At 48.4% G+C, this 20283-nt stretch overlaps 3 annotated features.

The window, feature by feature from the left end:
- Window positions 5596-5890: a silencer, noted in NCBI's record as "tiled region #9979; K562 Repressive DNase unmatched - State 8:EnhW". NCBI's record gives its function as "represses a minimal TATA promoter and a strong SV40 promoter by Sharpr-MPRA in K562 cells {active_cell/tissue: K562}" and the evidence as "EXISTENCE:reporter gene assay evidence [ECO:0000049][PMID:27701403]".
- Window positions 5596-6773: a biological region, named in NCBI's record as "Sharpr-MPRA regulatory region 9979".
- Window positions 5795-6773: an enhancer, noted in NCBI's record as "NANOG-H3K4me1 hESC enhancer chr7:4670386-4671364 (GRCh37/hg19 assembly coordinates)". NCBI's record gives its function as "activates a minimal SCP1, AML or CMV promoter by ChIP-STARR-seq in primed H9 embryonic stem cells {active_cell/tissue: H9 hESC(primed)}" and the evidence as "EXISTENCE:reporter gene assay evidence [ECO:0000049][PMID:30033119]".

Here is a 20283-nt window from a genome sequence, read left to right as displayed (position 1 = left end):
CCCTGACCCCTGAGCTGCACATGTCATGTTCCTCTGCCACCAGAACCCTAGAATTGGCGGAATCCCAGACACCGTTCCTCCGCAGGGTACCGCAAAGATCTTGTAAGACATGTGCAGTCCAGCGTATAATTACGGGATCTCAGACTTGGAGACAGTTCCACTGCAGCAGGAACCATTAGGCCATTAATGTCACTTGTGACACTAGTTAATAGTAAAAGAGATGTATTAATTGAAGCATCTGTTTTTGAAGATGTAGTTTTTCCTCCCCACCAAATTGTAGTATGGTTAGAAGTTCTAAAACTTATTTTTGGCTCAAGTTCCTCTTACGCCCCTCTCTACTCCCCAGCTTGGAGAAAACCCATGAACTTTTTCAATATCAATATAAATATTCCAGCTGGGCGCGGTGGCTCACGCCTGTAATCCCAGCACTTTAGGAGGCTGAGGCGGTGGATCACAAGGCGGGTGGATCACGAGGTCAGGAGATTGAGACCCTCCTGGCTAACACAGTGAAACCCCGTCTTTACTAAACATTACAAAAATTAGCTGGGCGTGGTGGCGGGTGCCTGTAGTCCCAGCTACTCGGGAGGCTGAGGCAGGAGAATGGTGTGAACCTGGGAGGTGGAGGTTGCAGTGAGCCGAGATCGCACCATTGCACTCCAGCCTGGGCAACAGAGCAAGACTCCGTCTAAAAAAAAAAAAAATATATATATATATATATATATATGTGTGTGTGTATATATATATATATATATATATGTATGTGTATATATATATATGTATGTGTATATATATATGTATGTGTATATATATATGTGTGTATGTATATATATGTATGTGTGTGTGTATATATATGTATGTATATATATGTATGTATGTATGTGTATATATATATATGTATCTCCCTGGAGATATATATCCTTCTCTCTTTTCCTTTTTTCCTGGCTTTAGATATAAAAAGTACATTAAACACATATGTACAAACCAAGTACTAGGAAACTCATGGATCCAGGTTTCTGTACTTTGCATAATCCTTGTTAATGATCTTGCAGTAGGAAACAGAGCTTGGTAACTCAACATTCGAGATCACGCCTGGAATCCTAGCACTTTTGGAGGCGAAGGCAGGCGGATCACTTGAGGCCAGGAGTTCGAGACCAGCCTGGGCAATATGACAAAACCCTGTCTCTACTAAAAATACAAAAATTACCCGGGTGTGGTGGCGGGCACCGTTAATCCCAGCTACTCGGGAGGCTGAGGCAGGAGAATCACTTGAACCCGGAGGCAGAGGTTGCAGGTGAGCCGAGGTTGCGCCGTTGCACCCCAGCCTGGGTGACAAGCAAAACTCCGTCTCAAAAAAAAAAAAAAAAAAAAGAGAGAGTGAGAGAATAAAGATAATGCACTATTGGTTTGGAATCTAACATCATCTAATAACATTAGAGCGAGACAGGTCTGAAACAATAACACTCAAAATGAGATCTGTGGACCACTGTCGTCTGCCAATTGTTTGTCTATGACAAGTTAAGTACAGAAATAGATGCTAAGCATTTAGAGTCTGGACTTGGTGGCTCATACCTGTAATCCCAGTGCTCTGGGAGGCCAAAAAGGGAGGGTGACTTGAGCCTAGGAGTTTGATACCAGCCTAGGCAACATGATGAAACCCTGTCTTTACAAAAAACACAAAAATCAGCACTCCTGTAGTCCTAGTTCCTTGGAAGGCTGAGACGGGAGGATCCCCTGGGCCTGAGAGGTTGTGAGGATGCAGACCGTGATTGGGCTGCTGCACTCCAGCCTGGGCGACAGAGCGAGACCCTGTCTAAAAAATAAAAAATAAAAAAAAAGAAATTAGACAGCCAAAAGTGGGTTTCATGAACTTCTCACCTATTTTATTTTTGGGATGGAGTCTCACTCCTTTGCCCAGGCTGGAGTGCAATGGCACGATCTCGGCTGACTGCAACCTCCACCTCCCGGGTTCAAGCGATTCTCCCACCTCAGCCTCCTGAGTAGCTGGGATTACAGGCACCCACCATCGTGCCCAGCTAATTTTTGTATTTTTGTAGAGACGGGGTTTCTCCATGTTGGTCAGGTGGTCTTGAACTCCTGACCTCAGGTGATCCACCCGCCTCAGCCTCCCAAAGTGCTGGGATTACAGGCGTGAGCCACCATGCCTGGCTGTCACCTATTTTAGAAAACCAAAACATGATCCTTCACCACAGATAGTTTCGGAAGAGCCGAAATAAAGAACTGATCAAAAACTTTTTGTGTATAACATGACCTATGCCTAGAAATCCAGCAATTGACTAGAAAACTGCCATGAACAATAAGAAAATTTGGTCTGGGTGTGGTGGTTCACGCCTGTAATCTCAGCACTTTCGGAGGCCGAGGTGGGTGGATCACCTGAATTTGGGGGTTCAAGACCAGCCTGACCAACATGGAGAAACCCTGTCTCTACTAAAAATACAAAAGTAGCCGGGCGTGGTAGCGCATGCCTGTAATCCCAGCTCCTCGGGAGGCTGAGGCAGAAGAATCGCTTGAACCTGGGAGGCAGAGGTTGCGATGAGCTGAGATCGCACCATTGCACTCCAGCCTGGGCAACAAGAGTGAAACTCCGTCTCAAAACAAAACAAACCAAAAACAACAACAAAAAGAAAATTCAATAAGATGACTGGGTACACAGTGAATATTTTTTAAAAAAACAATAGAATTCCACCGGGTGCGGTGGCTCATGCCTGTAATCCCAGCACTTTGGGAGGCTGAGGCAGGCAGATCACCTGAGGTCGGGAGTTCGAGACCAGCCTAACCAACATGGAGAAAACCCGTCTCTACTAAAAATACAAAATTAGCTGGGCATGGTAGCGCACGCCTGTAATCCTAGCTACATGGGAGGCTGAGGCAGGAGAATTGCTTGAACCTGGGAGGCAGAGGTTGTGGTGAGCCAAGATTGCGCCATTGCACTCCAGCCTGGGCAACAAGAGTGAAACTCCATCTCAAAAAAAAAAAAAAAAAATAGAATTCCAATATACAAATAACAGCTCTTTAGAAAAAGTCCCTCTTATGATAGATGCTAAAATGAAAATACCCAAGAATAAACTAAGAAGTATGCAAAATCTTTTGGCATGATTTTCTCCCTTTGAGATCTGAAAGACGCAAGAAATCCTCTTGAGGAAACGGAGGTGCTTTAGCTTGTTAAGAAAGCTCCTGACTCACAGGCTGGGTGGGGTTGCTCATGCTTGTAATCCCAGCACTTTGGGAGGCCAAGGTGGGTGGATCACTTGAGGTCAGGAGTTCGAGACCAGCCTGGCCACTATGGAGAAACCCCGTCTGTACTAAAAATATAAAAATTAGCCAGGCTTGGTGGCACATGCCAGTAATTCCAACTACTGGGGAGACTGAGGCAGGAGAATTGCTTAAACCCGGGAGACGGAGGTTGCAGTGAGCTGAGATTGCGCCATTGCACTCCAGCCTGGGTGACAGAGCAAGACTCTGTCACCAAAAACAAAAACAAAAACAAAAGGATCCTGACTCACTTTGAAATAGGACAGGTGAGTGTCCTGGAAAGCCAAGGTGTGGTCCCTGCAACTCATGGCTTCTTGGAGAGCCTCGGCGGCTGATTCTGGGTTCATAAAATGAAGGTGGAGTCCAGAGCATCTGAGATTGGGCAGAAGCTCAGAAGCTAGCTGCAAAGTCCGTGACTCAGGGGTTAGAATCTGCCTGGGAAGGAAACCGGGGACAAGACTGTCCTGTTTTCCATGAGCATTTATGAGAACGATGGCATACACATGTGTCTGCATGAGCGTGGACATTCCTGTAGGATGCTGGGGAAACTGGTAACAGTCGTTCCTGGGTAGGGGAGGTGGGCGGGGACAGAGGTGGGAGGCATACAGAAATGTCACTGGTTGGTTTTGTTCCTTTTATTTTTTGAGACAGAGCCTTGCTCTGTAGCCCAGGCTGGAGTGCAGTGGCGCGATCATAGCTCACTGCAGCCTCCAACTCCTGGGTTCAAGCGATCCTCCTGTCTCAGCCTTCTAGTAGCTGGGACTACAGGTGTGTGCCACCACACCCAGCTAATTTTTAAATTAAAATAAATTAAATTAATTTTTTAATTTTCATTTTTTAAAATTTTCTTTTTTCCAAAACTTTATTTACATTGAAGAACTAGATTTTTAAGTTTTTTGTAGAGATGGGGTCTCGCATCTCCAAGCTGGTCTCAAACCCCTGGCCTCAAGTGATCCTCCTGCCTTGGCCTCCCAAAGTGCTGAGACAAAGGCATGGGATTATCCCCACACCTGGCCTCAAACTTGCTTGTGTTTATGAATCACCAAGGCTGTGACTCAGCAGGTCTACATGGGGCCTGAGACTGTGTATTTTTAACAAGCCTCCAGCTGATGGCGATGCTGCCTGGATGAGGCATTTTACATTTTGTGGAACAAAAATCTTCCAGGTGTTGGCCTGGCATGGTGGCTCACACTTGTAATCCCAGCACTTTGGGAGGTCGAGGTGAGAGGATCTCTTGAGGTCAGGAGTCTGAGACCAGCCTGGCCAACATGGTGGAACCCCATCTCTACTAAAAATACAAAAATTAGCCGGGCGTGGTGGTGTGCGCCTGTAATCCCAGCTGCTCGGGAGGCCGAGGCAGCAGAATTGCTTGAACCTGGGAGGCGGAGGTTACAGTGAGCCCAAATCATGCCATTGCACTCCAGCCTGGGTGACAGAGTGAGACCCTGTCCTGCCACCTTCCCCCCACAAAAAGACACTTTTTTTTTTTACACAGTCGAAAAATATATTTTATTATTATTATTTTTTATGCTTTTTAAAACTTCTATTTTAGGTTCAAGGGTACATGTGCAGGTTTATTATGCAGGTAAATTGCATGTCACAGGGGTCTGGTGTCCGTGACTCAAATAAAGAAAGAAATGAATGTCTTCCTACCAGCTCCAGGAACGTTGCACCACCAATGTATCTTTAAAGTGTCCTCGTGGTGACAAAATAATCTGCACGCCAAAGGACACTTAGATACATTTGTCAAGGCAGGCGGATCACCAGAGGTCAGGAGTTGGAGACCAGCCTGACCAGCATGCTGAAACCCCCTCTCTACTAAAAATACAAAATTAGCTGGGCATGGTGGTGGGCGGGCACCTGTAATCCCAGCTACTCGGGAGGCTGAGGCAGGAGAATCGCTTGAACCCGGGAGGCTGAGGTTGCAGTGAGCAGAGATCGCGACACCGCACTCCAGCCTGGGTGACAGAGTGAGTGAGACTCTGTCTCAAAAAGAAAAAAAAAAAATCATCCAGGCGCTGCTGCTGCTGGCCCTCGCACCACATTTTGCCCCTCACGGATTGACCATGGCTCAGACCTGCACCATGAGCTGCATCTGGGATTTGCTAGAAGTGCCTGCTCTCAGGCCCCACCCCAGGCTACTGCCTTGGAATCCGTATTGTGCAAGATCCCTGTAGCCGGCTAGGAACATTGCCATGGGGTGTGAGCGCTGGGCCGGGGCACTCCCTGTCTTGGTCCTCTGGTCTCACCAGCTAATAGCGTAGGAGATGTTCTTTGAACAACTGCCTTTCCCCATTTTCTCACCGCTGCACAGCAAAGGGAGAGGAATGATGAGCAAATGTTCCCAATCTGCTCCGACCTTCCCGGATCAAAAGCCCTGGTCACGAGGGTGATGTTGCACGTTTTCCCGCTGAGTTGGCTGCCGCTTTGATCATCCTGGCGAGGACTCCTGTGTCCTGGAGATGGCAGTGCAGGATGGGAATTGAACAGAAAACCCGCAGCAGCTTCTCCCCGACTTCACGCCATCAGTCCTGCTGTAATCTTCTGAACTGGCCTGTTGTTCTCCGGGGCTCCTGGTCTGAGCTGTAGCTCTTAGAATACATCCAAAGCACCAGTTAGAGCAGCGCCGCCCTGAGCAGCTCTCAACAGCACAACGTGGGACATGGTTGGGAGGCTGGCACGTGTCAGCTGGAGTGGGAGAGCATTCCTTTAATTATCCTACCCACGTTTATTGATCACCTACTGTGTGACAGGCAGCCTGCTGAGTGCTAGAGACGCAGATTCCATGCAAAGGAAACAAATAGCAATTAAGCATCACCCTAAAGCAATGCCCGTGAACTATGCAGACGTGCTACCTGGGGGAGCTGAGAACAGCCCTAAGAAAGGCTTTGACCTCGTCTGGAGGCGAGATCCTAGGGTGCAGCAGCAGGCACTGGGCAGGAAGCATGTTTAGTGGCTTTAAAGCGAAAACACAGCTATGCATGTTTGCACAAAACACAGAGTTCTTGGGCCGGGCGGGTGGCTCATGCCTGTCATCCCAACACTTTGGGAGGTTGAGGCGGGAGGATCGCTTGAGCCTGGGAGTTTGAGACCATCCTGGGTAACGTGGCGAGACCCTGTCTTTACCAAAAATACAAAAAATTAGCTGGGTGTGGCGGTGTGCACCTGTATTCCCAGCTACTCGGGAGGCTGAAGCAGGAGGATGGCTTGAGCCCTGGAGGTCCGGGCTGCAGTGAGCTATGATTGCACTATTGTACTCCAGCCTAGGTAACAGAGTGAGACCTTGTCTCAAAAAAAAAAAAAAAAAAGTTCTTGATAGTTTCCCCTTCTTGCTGGTAATGAACTAGGCTTAGGCAGTCAAAGCTGGAATTTATAGGCTGGGTGCAGTGACTCATGCCTGTAATCCTAGCACTTTGAGAGGCCGAGATGGGCGGATCGCCCGAGGTCAGGAGTTCGAGACCAGCCTGACCAACATGGCAAAACCCCATCTCTACTAAAAATGCAAAAATTAGCCAGGCATGGTGGCACATGCCTGTAATCCCAGCTACTCGGGAGGCTGAGGCAGGAGAATCGCTTGAACCCAGGAGGCGGAGGTTGCAGTGAGCCGAGATCGTGCCGCTGCACTGTAGCCTGGGCAACAGAGTGAGACTCCATCTCAAACAACAAACAAAAAAACCCAAAAAAAGCTGGAATTCATGGAACATGGTGTTACTCCAAGGGTGCTATAGCTTTTTGGTAGGGATGGCCCCAAATTACAGGGAAATACCTGCCCTTGAAGCTCTCAGCTTGTGGTCCCCGAGAGCGTGTACCATGGGCAAGATGTGGCTCTGGGCCATTTGGAGAAGCAATGGCCACCTCTTAGCCACCAGGAGATGCTGCTTTTATTGGAGACATTGAAAAGTGCCCATGAAAAGGAAACGTACAGCGCACCGTGGTTTATTAAATGGCCAACACATGCTAGGGGTGGAGGAGAGAGTCGGGGAGTTCAGAGGAAAGAAGGGGGTTCCTGGGGAAGAGTGGGGGTCTCGTACACAGTAGGGTGGGGGCTGAGGGGAGTACAGTGTGGACAAAGAGACTGAGGAGTGGGTGGGCAAGGCTGATGGCAGAGCAGGAGTCAGGAGGGGAGAGGCCAGGCCTCCTCTCTGCACCCACCCGGTATCCTGAGACTCAGATTGAAGGGCTCCAGGGCCCACTTCTCCCTGAAACTGTCAGCTTTGTCTTAAATATGCTCCTACATAGTTTGCATTCTACTCCGTGATATAAGCACGTTTAGCATTAAAATACTGTTTTGAATTGCTCATTCAATTATTGTTTTTTTTTCTCTCTCTCTCTCTTTCTATTTCTCAAGACAAATGGGGGCTTCAGGAAGAGGCAGGCGTTTTAGGTGCAGGCCGCACACCAAACTCGACAGATGGATGGGATGGGCGAGGTTTTCTTCCCTGGGTGCATTGGAGCCTGGGTTCAAATCCCATGAGACCTACCCATGTGACCTGGTGGGGGCTCCTTCTCCTCTCGGAGCCTGACTGAGCTCCCCAAAATCATCAAGGGGGATGAATCACCTGAGTGGGGGTGAGTATTGAATGAGCAAATGCCTGCAAAAGACTCAGCATAGCACATAATAAATCTCTAGCAAATGTTGGATGTGACAGACATCTGGAACAGATCACAGAGGGCCTTGAATGGCCCACACTTCAAAACCCATGCCCAGGTGGGGGTGGAAGACTTGGGTCCTCAGAGTTTCATTCACTGTTGATGGGTGTAGAAGCATATGATCAGGGGTAAGAACCTGGTTGGCGCTGGCCCAGGGAGGGGGGTTGAGGGGAAAGGAGGGGGGTTGAGGGGAAGGAACGGGCTGGCTGGGAGGTGGCCCTGTGAAGGGGACCCTGGCAGCAGCAGCAGCTTGCTGATGTACCAGTGAAAATCGGCTTGGAATTGTGAAAGACAGATGCCCATTCAAAGCCAGCAGACTTGAGCACCCTGACCTGGTGGTGTGGAAATGGATCGCCATTTATCAGATTCCAGGGATGATTTTTTTTTCTCACCACAGAAAGGCATCTTCTCACCCTCCTTTTCCCCGAGGTCTCTTCCTCAGATTGTTATTATATATTCTTTGGCTTATTTACCCATTAAAAATTATATATTATATAATATGTAATATATAATATATATTATATAATAGAGACAGGGTCTCACTGTGTTGCCCAGGCTGGTCTCCAACTCCTGGGCTCAAGTGATCCTCCCCCCTTAGTCTCCCAAAGTGCTGGGATTACAAGTGTAAGCCACTGCACCCAGCCTATTAGCCGATTTATTTTAGTTTAGTTTTGAGACAGGGTCTTGCTCTGTCACCCAGGCTGGAGTGCAGTGGCACGATCTCAGCTCACTGCAACCTCCACTTTCCAGGTTCAAGTGATTCTCATGCCTCAGCCTCCAAAGTAGCTGAGATTACAGGTGCGCATCACCACACCTGGCTAATTTTTCTATTTTTAGTAGAGACAGGGTTCACCATGTTGCTCAGGCTGGTCTTGAACTCGTGGCCTCAAGTAATCCACCTGCCTTGGTCTCCTAAAGTGCTAGGATTACAGGTGTGAGCCACTGCTTCTGGCCCTGTTTGCCCGTTGTAAATGTCTGTTCATTTAGCATCCATCTCTGCCCTGGATAGTAAACGCTGCTGTGAAGGCCGGGGTTGTGTCTCTTGTACGCCCACACCCTGTAGAGTACTTGGCACTTGAGAGATGTTCACTAGTGATTTGTTTTTGTGTTGGTCAATCCAAACGCTCGATGTATACAGCATGTCCTTATTTAAGCCCCACAAACTCCAAGAGGTAGGTAGAACCTACCTCTTTTACAGATAAAGAAACTGAGGCCGGGCGCGGTGGCTCACGCCTGTAATCCTAGCATTTTGGGAGGCCGAGGCAGGTGGATCACGAGGTCAGGAGATCGAGACCATCCTGGCTAACACGGTGAAACCCCATATCTACTGAAAAAAAACATACAAAAAAAAATTAGCCGGGCGTGGTGGCAGGCACCTGTAGTCCCAGCTACTCGGGAGGCTGAGGCAGGAGAATGGCGTGAACCCAGGAGGCAGGGCTTGCAGTAAGCAGAGACCGCGCACCACTGCACTCCAGCCTGGGTGACAGAGCGAGACTCCGTCTCAAAAAAAAAAAAAAGAAACTGAGGCCGAAAGAGAGGTGGAGTCACTTGTCTTAATGCACACACCTGGACAGCATGGTTGGCGATGGGAACTCAGGTGTCACTGGCTGCATAGACCCTGTGCCTCCCTTAAAACCAAACTGCCTTCAGCCTAAGAGGATGGGCTCTGGGGTAGACAGACTGGCTTTGCAAAGATGGCGGACTTTTGGGTGACAGTGTCCAAAGGACGCTTGCAGACTGGAAGGATCTTGGATTTGGGAAGGACAGTGGAGGACACCACTAAGATCTTTCGTCCTGGCTGGACTCTTCTTCATCTTCATGGGAGGTGGTTGGTCGTCTGGGACCCGCAGAAATGCACGCGGTGGTGGTAATTTCCCATCACAAAAGACAAACCAGCTCTTTTTTCCCAAGAGGTTTCATTAAGCTCTTCATTCTCAGCCAGTATCTGTTTTTCTGGTCACGAAAATGATAAACAGGACAGAGCCAAGAGGAGAACTGTGAGGTCTCAGGACCTTTCTCTGGATTGACATCAGCTCAGTAATCAAATCCTTGCATGCGGTGGGTCATTCTACTGCATCTGAACCCACACTTACTCCACTCTCCTCCAGCCCATATTCGTCTAACTCGCCCGTGGGATTGTCATGAGACCTTTGTCAAATGTCTGGCTGAAATCCTGATATGCAATCTCTTTAGTCTTCCCTTCTCCAGAAGGAAAATGAGCTTCCTTTGGTTCGAATATTCCTGGTGGGTCCTGGCTGTCTCCTAAGGACCACCCATCTGTGCCTTGTTCCCATAGGATTTGCAAGATTTTAGAATTTTTGCCTAGCTGCAAGACGTAGAGCTCTGCAGCTTCCAGAATCTGCCCTTCCTTTTTTTTTCTTTTTTGCAAAGTGGGACATCTGTTCATCTCTCCTCTCCTTGCACCTTCCTACTCCTTGGGGTTCTCTGAGGATGGAGACCATCCAGAGGTGGCTCTGGAGCCTGACAAAGCAGGAATGTACAGTAACTGTGGATCTGAACTGAACAAACTCTAATTCTGCAGCTGCGTCCGCATGTTCTGCCATGTCTGCGATCATCTTGATTTCTCTTATCCTAACCTGTCTCCCCCTTTAGTTATTCTTCAAAAAAATTCTTTTTGGTAACTATAAAAGTAACATGTGCCTATCAAGAACCCTAAAAATAATCAAATAAAAATCATCCATAATTTCATTGTTCAAAGATAATGATGACCAGTGACCAGTCTTCCTGAATTTTAATTAATTAATTAATTTTTAAAGATGGTGCCTCCCTATGTTACACAGGCTGGTTTCGGACTCCCAGGCTCAAGTGATCCTCCCACCTAAGCCTCCTGAGTAGCTGGGATTACAGATGCATGCCACCACACCTGGCTTCTTCCTGAGTTTTGGACTCAAGATTTTCAACACCCTGGGCTGGGCCTGGTGGTTCATGCCTGTAATCCCAGCCCAGCCCTTTGGGTGGCTGAGGTGGGAGGATCGCTTGAGGCCAGTAGCTGGAGACCAGTCTAGGCAATATAGTGAGATCCCGTCTCTATAAAAAATAAACACAATTATCCAGGTGTGGTGATGAGTGCCTGTGGTCCCAGCTACTCGAGAGACTGAGGTGGGAGGATCTCTGGAGCCTGCCAGGTTGAGGCTGCAGTAAGCCAAGATGGTGCCACTGCACTCCAGCCTGGGCAACGGAGCAAGACCCTGTCTCAAAAAAAGAAGAAAAATTCCAGCAGCCTGCAGAATATTTCCACCAGTGTATCTCTGAAATATCTCAAGCTCTATCTGACCCCAATCAACCTCACCTTCTTCCCCTTGCACACTGCTCCTGAGTTTCCCGGATTGAATAATAGCATCACCATTCACCAAATCACCCAAGACAGAAGTCTTGCATTATCTTCTGTTTGACCCCCACCATCCAATTATTCATCAGGACCTGCCCAGTCCAGCTCCCTGAAATGTCGTTTCCCATCATTACCCTCACTTCCCAGTCCTCTAAAGCAGGCCCTTATCTCTCATCTGCCTTATTGCAACAACATTCTTACTGGTTTTCTAACCTTTAATCTCTCCCGCTGGGGCAATCTAATCTCTACATTGTTGCTGAGATAAGATCATGTTTATTCCTCTGCTCAAAAACTTCAACAATACTGTTACAGAAAAATTCGGCAGGACATTCAAAGCTCTACATCATTTGTTCCAAATTTCTGTTCTCTATTCTCATCTCCTACTCAAATGCCAACAGGAAGCGTACTCTGATTTTGAAGAATTAACGACCCCGGTCTCTGTTCTCCCATGGTGCTTGGATAGGTTATCTTTAACAGTTCTTACCAATCATTTTTTGCTCTGTGGCATGCATGTATATCTTGCTCCCTTTCTAGAATGGGAACTTGTTGATGTCAGGGACTGTTTCACTTCTCTTTGTGTGACTGGAGAGACCCACATAATTGTCCAGGTTGATTTAAGTATAGAATCCATTTGGACATGGAAACTCTCTCTCTCTCTTTTTTTTTTTTTAAAGAGATGGGGGCTGGGCATGGTGGCTCATGCCTGTAATCCCAGCACTTTGGGAGGCTGAAGCAGGCAGATCACCTGAGTTCAGGAGTTTGAGACCAGTTTGGCCAACATGGAGAAATCCTGTCTCTACTAAAACAGAAAAATTAGCTGGGTGTGGTGAGGCATGCCTGTGATCACAGCTACTTCAGAGGCTGAGGAAGGAGAAATGCTTGAACCTGGGAGGTGGAGGTTGTAGTGAGCCGAGATCACGCCACTGCACTCCAGTCTGGGCAGCAGAGCAAGACCTTATTTCAAATAAATAAATAAATAAATAAATAAATAAATAAATAAATGGAGTCTTGATCTGTTACCCAGGCTGGAGTGCAGTGGTGCCATTATAGCTCACTGCAGCCTTGACCTTCTGGGCTCAAACGATTCTTGCATCTCAGCCTCTGGGAGTAGCTGTATCTACAGGTGCATGCCACCATGCCTGGCTAATTTAAGATTTTTGGTAGAGACAGGGTCTAGATGTGTTGCCCAGGATGGTCTCAAACTCCTGTCCTCAAGTGAGCCTCTCACCTCAGACTCCCAAAGTGTTAAGGATACAGGTATGAGCCACTCTGTCCGGCCTCAAACTCTTTTAAAGCACAAATATGCTATCTTAGTATCACCTTGCATATCTGGAGCTTCAGTTTTCTTTCTTTTTTTTTTTATTGATCATTCTTGGGTGTTTCTCACAGAGGGGGATTTGGCAGGGTCATAGGACAATAGTGGAGGGAAGGTCAGCAGATAAACAAGTGAACAAAGGTCTCTGGTTTTCCTAGGCAGAGGACCCTGCGGCCTTCCGCAGCGTTTGTGTCCCTGGGTACTTGAGATTAGGGAGTGGTGGTGACTCTTAATGAGCATGCTGCCTTCAAGCATCTGTTTAACAAAGCACATCTTGCACCGCCCTTAATCCATTTAACTCTGAGTGGACACAGCACATGTTTCAGAGAGCACAGGGTTGGGGGTAAGGTCACAGATCAACAGGATCCCAAGGCAGAAGAATTTTTCTTAGTACAGAACAAAATGAAAAGTCTCCCATGTCTACTTCTTTCTACACAGACAGGGCAACCATCCGATTTCTCAATCTTTTCCCCACCTTTCCCCCCTTTCTATTCCACAAAACCGCCATTGTCATCATGGCCCGTTCTCAATGAGCTGTTGGGTACACCTCCCAGACGGGGTGGTGGCTGGGCAGAGGGGCTCCTCACTTCCCAGTAGGGGCGGCCGGGCAGAGGTGCCCCTCACCTCCCGGACGGGGCTGCTGGCCGGGCGGGGGGCTGACCCCCCCACCTCCCTCCCAGACGGGGCGGCTGGCCGGGTGGGGGGCTGACGCCCCCACCTCCCTCCCAGATGGGGCGGCTGGCCTGGCGGGAGGCTGACACCCCCCACCTCCCTCCCGGACGGGGTGGCTGCCGGGCGGAGAGGCTCCTCACTTCTCAGACGGGGCGGCTGCTGGGCGGAGGGTCTCCTCACTTCTCAGACGAGGCGGCCGGGCAGAGATGCTCCTCACCTCCCAGACGGGGTGGCGGCCGGGCAGAGGCACTCCTCACATCCCAGACGGGGCGGCGGGGCAGAGGCGCTCCCCACATCCCAGACAATGGGCGGCCGGGCAGAGACGCTCCTCACTTCCTAGATGTGATGGCGGCCGGGAAGAGGCGCTCCTCACTTCCCAGATGGGATGGTGGCTGGGCAGAGACGCTCCTCACTTTCCAGACTGGGCAGCCAGGCAGAGGGGCTCCTCACATCCCAGACGATGGGCGGCCAGGCAGAGACACTCCTCACTTCCCAGACGGGGTGGCGGCCGGGCGGAGGCTGCAATCTCGGCACTTCGGGAGGCCAAGGCAGGCGGCTGGGAGGTGGAGGTTGTAGCGAGCCGAGATCACGCCACTGCACTCCAGCCTGGGCACCATTGAGCACTGAGTAAACCAGACTCCGTCTGCAATCCCAGCACCTCGGGAGGCCGAGGCTGGCGGATCACTCGCGGTTAGGAGCTGGAGACCAGCCCGGCCAACACAGGGAAACCCCGTCTCCACCAAAAAAATACGAAAACCAGTCAGGCGTGGCGGCGCACGCCTGCAATTGCAGGCACTCTGCAGGCTGAGGCAGGAGAATCAGGCAGGGAGGTTGCAGTGAGCCGAGATGGCAGCAGTATAGTTCAGCTTTGGCTCGGCATGAGAGGGAGACGGTGGAAAGAGAGGGAGAGGGAGACCATGGGGAGAGGGAGACCATGGGAGAGGGAGAGGGAGAGGGAGAGGTCATTTCATTGTTTGTGAGCAGCCCAGTTTTCTTTTTTAAAAAAGTTTAAATTAACTGGAATGGACATTATTTTTTCTTTGTTCCCCAGTTCTCCATTCCCCTTGGTTTCCTCTTGAGGAAGTGTCCATCCCTTTCCCCCTGGATGTCACCCAGTGGTGTTGGGTTGAGGTTTGTAAGCAGGGCTCCCCTCCAGAAGCCAAATGGTGTCACGTGAACCAAGGCAGACCCAACTGGTTGCTCTTCCTCTAGAAACTGAATCAGCAGCAAAAGAAGAAAGATTCTAAAAGTCAGTGGGGTTTTTTCCTGCCTTTCTTCCCCAGTCCCTGTTGTGGGGTCCTTTGTTTTAGAATGTGTCAAAATTAGGGCTTTCCTCCCTATATTAGTCCATTCTCACAATATAAAGACCTACTCAATACTGGGTAATTTATTAGGTTGGTACAGAAGTGTGGTTTTTGCCATTACTTACAATGGCAAAAACCACTATTACTTTTGCACCAACCTAATATAAAGGAAAGAGGTTTAATTGAGTCACAGTTCCACATGGCTGGGGAGGCCTCAGGAAATTTACCATCATGGCAGAAGGCAAAGAGGAAGCAAGGACCTTCTTCACATGCCAGCAGGAGAGAGAAGAGTGAAAGCGCAGGGGAAACTGCCATTCATAAAGCCATCGGATCTCGTGAGAACTCACTCACTACCACGAGAACAGCATGGGAGAAACCGCCCTCATGATCCAGTCACCTCCCACCAGGTCCCTCCCTCCCTCAACACCTGGGGATTACAATTCAAGATGAGATTTGGGTGGGGACACAGAGCCAAACCATATGACTCCCCTTGTGAGGTCAGAGCCCCCTTAAATTTTTGAAAATTACAATGAGAGGGAAATTCTAGGACTTCAAAGGGCTTTACTATCCTTTTATTCCCTCATAAACACTGCAGGAGTCCCCCCTTATCTGTGGGGATTATGTTCCAAGAACCCCAGTGGATGCCTGAAACCTCAGATAGTACCAAACCCTAATATACTATGTTTTATCCTATGTGTACATTCCAATAATAAAGCTTAATTTCTAAATTAGGCACAGTAAGAGATTAAAAACAACTAATAATAAAGTAGAACAATTATAACAATGCACTGTAATGAAAGTTAAGTGAATGTGGTCTCTCTCTAAAGTTAAGCGAATGTGGTCTCTCTCTCTCTCTCCTTCTTTCTCTCTCTCACAATATCTTTGTTTGTTTGTTTGTTTGTTTTGAGATAGAGTCTTGCTCTATCTCCCAGGCTGGAGTTCATAGGCGTGATCTCAGCTCACTGCAACCTCTGCCTCCCGGGTTCAAGCGATTCTCTTGCCTCAGCCTCCCAAATAGCTGGGATTACAGGCATGTTCCATCATGTCCAACGAATTTTTGTATTTTTAGTAGAGATGGGGTTTCTCCATGTTGGCAAGGCCGATCTCGAACTCCTGGCCTCAAGCAATCCACCTGCCTTGGCCTCCCAAAGTGCTAGGATTACAGGCATGAGCCACCATGCTCAGCCTACTCAATATCTTATACTGTACTAATCCTTTTCTTGTGATCTCTCGATCTGATAACCGTGATGGCTACTAAGTGACAACAGGTGGATAGTATGTGCAGTGTGGGTTCCCTGGACAAAGGTATCTATGTCCCAAGTGGGATGGAGCCGAGTGTTGCAAGACTTAATCATGCTGCTCAGAACAGCATGCAATTTAAAACTTATGACTGGTTATTTCTGGAATTTTTCATGTCATATTTTTGGGTCATAGTTGACCATGAGTGACTGAAACTGCAGAAAGCAAAACCGTGGTCAAGGGGGAACAACAGTATATTAAGCCATATGGAGATATTCCCTGTGGTGTTTCTAATTCTCTGCTGAGACAGGCTTCGTTGCTTGTCTAAACAACTGGGCTTCTGACCTGGCAAGGCTTATCTGATGTGGGCACAAGAGATCGTCCACCATGTCCAGGTCAGCATGGTGGAGAAAGCCTTCCTGACTGGAGAGATGGTGGAAACATCTATTTGTAACTCTTGTTTTATTTGCAACACTGAGTGGGTATGTTTCTCTCTGGAAACATCATAACTATAAGCAAGCAAAATCGGCCAGGCACGATGGCTCATGCCTGTAATCCCAGCACTTTGGGAGGCCGAGGCAGGCAGATCACCTGAGGTTGGGATTTGGAGACCGGCCTGGCTAACATGGTGAAACCCTGTCTCTACTAAAAATACAAAAAAATTATCCGAGGGTGGTGGTGGGCGCCTGTGATTCCAGATACTTGGGAGGCTAAGGCATGAGAATGGCTTGAACCCAGGAGGTAGAGGTTGCAGTGACCTGAGATCGTGTCACTGCACTCCAGCCTGGGTGACAGTGAGATTCTGTCTCAAAATAAATAAATAAATAAATAAATAAATAAATAAATAAATAAAATAAACAAGCAAAATCTCCCAAGAGGGACTTTTATTTGTTTTTAGTTATTTCTAAAATTAAAAAATATAGAGACAAGGTCTTGCTCTGTGGCCCAGGCTGGTATCAATCTCCTGGGCTCAAGACATCCTGAAGCCTCAGCCCCCCAAAGTGCTGGGATTAACAGGCATGAGTCACCATGCCTGGGTCAAAGAGAGACTTTTAGAAGGAAAATGTACAGACTTATACAGTCTCTTTTCTTGTCCCAACCCGTGACTTGGCTTCCAGGAAAGGGTGTGGCTTGCTTCTGTCTGCCAGTGACTGTTTATAGTCCCAGCTGCTCCTGCAAGGAGAGGACTCGCCTTGTGACAATGATGGGGCCACCCGTACCTTCCTGGGTATGGTTCTTGCTTTTTTATTTGTTTGTTTGTTTTGAGACAGAGTCTAGCTCTGTCGCCCAGGCTAGAGTGCAGTGGCGCGATCTCGGCTCACTGCAAGCTCCGCCTCCTGGGTTCACGCCATTCTCTTGCCTCAACCTCCTGAGTAGCCGGGACTACAGGCACCGGCCACCACGCCCAGCTAATTTTTTGTATTTTTAGTAGAGATGGGGTTTCACCGTGTTAGCCAGGATGGTCTCGATCTCCTGACCTGGTGATCTGCCCACCTCGGCCTCCCAAAGTGCTGGGATTACAGGCGTGAGCCACCGTGCCCGGCCCCTTGCTTCTTAAGTCTCGGGATGCCTTTGCTCCTGTTCCTGTTCCAGCCTGGTTCTCCAGATTCTCACTGGTCTTTTGAGCCCTGGGTGGGGACTGAGGGATGAGTTTGCAAGTAGCAGAAAAAGAGTGGCTTAAATATCAGAAGTTGGCAGCTCAGCCCAGGTCAGGTCTCCTGCTCTGTGGAGTCCCCATGTCCCAGGCTCTCCTTGTCTTTCTGTCCCCGCCATCCTCTGCATTCTCTGGGCTTCCATTCTCAAGGTTACCTCATGGTCTCAACTGCTGCTGCAGCACCAGCCATCACATCCATATTCCAGATAGGAGGAAGAAGAGTGGTTTAAAGGGCATTGTCTGCGGCACCGTGGCTCAAGTCTGTAATTGGGGGCTGAGGTGGGAGGATCACTTGAGGCCAGGAGTTCGAGACCAGCCTGGGCAACATAGCGAGACTTCCTGTCTCTAGAAAAATTAAAAATTTAGCTGAGCATAATGGTAGGCACCCGTAGTCTCAGCTACTTGGGAGGCTGAGGCAGGAGGATGGCTTGAGCCCAGGAGTTTGAGGCTGCAGTGAGCTATGATCACACCACTGCACTTCAGCCTGGATGACAGAGCAAGACTCCATCTCAAGAAAAAAAAAAGGCATAGTCAGCCACTTAAAAAAAAAATCTTTCCCAGAGTTCCAACCCAGTGACTTCCACTTCTGTCTTATTTTTCATCACAACAATGCATTCCCCGCCCAGAGAGCCATGATCGCACCACTGCACTACAGCCTGGGAAAAGGAGTGAGACCCTGTCTCTAAAAACAACAACAGCACACTCTTTATTTTGAAATAATTCTGTTTATAGGAAATTGAAGAAAAAAAGTACAGAGAAGTCCCACGTACTCGTCATTCTGTTTCCTCCAAGGGTAACATTTTGCATATCTGTAGTACAACATCAAAACCAGGAAATTGACATTGGTACAATCCACAGACCTAATTCTGATTTTAACAGCAAGCAATATACATACATCTGTGTGTGTGTGTGTGTGTGTGTGTGTGTGTGTGTGTGTTGAGACAGGGTATCCCTCCGTTGCCCGGGCTGGAGTGCAGTAGCGAGATCATGGCTCACTGCAGCCTTGACCTCCTAGGCTCAAGTGATCCCCCTGCCTCATCCTCCTGAGGAGCTGGGACTACAGGCATGCACCACCATGCCTGGCTATTTTTAAAATTTTTGTACAGACAGAGTCTCACTATGTTGCCCAGGTTGGTCTTGAACTCCTGGCCTCCAGTGATCCTCCCACCTTAGCCTCCCAACGTGCTGGATTATAGGCATGAACCACCACGCCTGGCTCTGTGTGTGTGTGTGTGTGTGTGTGTGTGATGTAATTTTATCACCTGTGCAGATTTGTGTGACGGCCACCACAATCAAGATGCAGAACTATTCCATCACTACTCCTTACAGTCACATCCACCCACTCACCCCAGTTCCTAATCCCTGGCAACGACTAATCTGTTCTTCCTCTCTGTAACGTTGTCATTTACATTTAAAGAATGTTTTATAAATGGATTCCTATAGTATGTAACCTTTTGAGACTGGCTTTTTTTTCCTCACTCAGCATAACTCCCTTGAGAACCATAGAAGTTATTATGGGTATCTATGGTTTGTTCCTTTATATTAATTATAAATTAATTATATAATTATAAATGAATAAAATTAGAAGTGTTCGGGGTGAGGATGTTACTGTTTCATTGAAGGGCAAGGGGTTTGTACTAGTCCATTGTCACACTGTAATGGAGAAATACCCCCTGAGACTGGGTAATTTATAAAGGAAAGAGATTTAATCGACTCACAGTTCTGCACTGCTGGGGAGGCCTCAGGAAACTTACAATCGTGGCTGAAGGCAAAGGAGAAGCAGGCACCTTCTTCCCAGGGTGGCAGGATGGAGTGAGCGCAAGCAGGGGAAATGCCAGATGCTTATAAAACCATCAGATCTCGGCCGGGGCGCAGTGGCTCACGCATGTAATCCCAGCACTTTGGGAGGCCGAGGTGGGCGGATCACGAGCTCAGGAGTTCGAGACCGCCTGGCCAACATGGCGAAACCCTGTCTCTACTAAAAATACGCAAAAATTAGCTGGGCATAATGGCGGGCGCCTGTAATGCCACCTACTTGGGAGGCTGAGGCAGGAGAATCGCTTGAACTCAGGAGGTGGAGGTTGCGGTGAGCCAAGATTGCACCACTGCACTCCAGCCCAGGTGACAGAGCGAGACTCTGTCTCAAAAAAAAAACAAAAACAGAAACAAAAACAAAAAAACCCCATCAGATCTCATGAGACTAACTCAGTATGAGGAGAACAGCCTGGGGGAAACGGCCTCATCATCCAATTACCTCCACGTGGTCCCGCCCTTGATATGTGGGAATTAATGGAATCATGGGGATTACAATTCAGAGTTGTTTTCCGTTTTTGGTTATTATGAATAAAGCAGCTCCAGACAATCATGTATAGGTTTTTGTGTCATCATAACTTTCCATTTCTCTCGTTTAAATGCCCAAGAGTGCAATCGCTAGGTTGTATGATACGTACATGTTTAGTTTTTGAAAAAACAGTCAAACTCTTTTCCAGAGTATCTGTACCAGTTTACATTCTCACCAGCAACATATGAGGGATCTAGTTTCCCTGCATCCTCACCAGCATTTTGTGTTGTTACTATTTTTGTTGTTGTTGAGACAGAGTCTCCATCTGTCGCCCAGGCTGGAGTGCAGTGGCACGATCTCGGCTCACAGCAACCCCTGCCTCCCGGGTGGAAGCAATTCTCCTGCCTCAGCCTCCTGAGTAGCTGGGACTTAGGCGCGCGACACCACGCCTAACTAATTTTTGTAATTTTTTTTTTTAGTAGAGACGGGGTTTCACCACGTTGGCCAGGATGGTCTCGATCTCTTGACCTTGTGATCGGCCTGCCTCGG

This window comes from Homo sapiens, chromosome 7, assembly GCF_000001405.40.
Source record: "Homo sapiens chromosome 7, GRCh38.p14 Primary Assembly".
Classification (NCBI taxonomy): Eukaryota; Metazoa; Chordata; class Mammalia; order Primates; family Hominidae; genus Homo; species Homo sapiens.
Note: the sequence above shows the minus strand (reverse complement) of the source record. Positions and strands in the feature narration are given on the sequence as shown.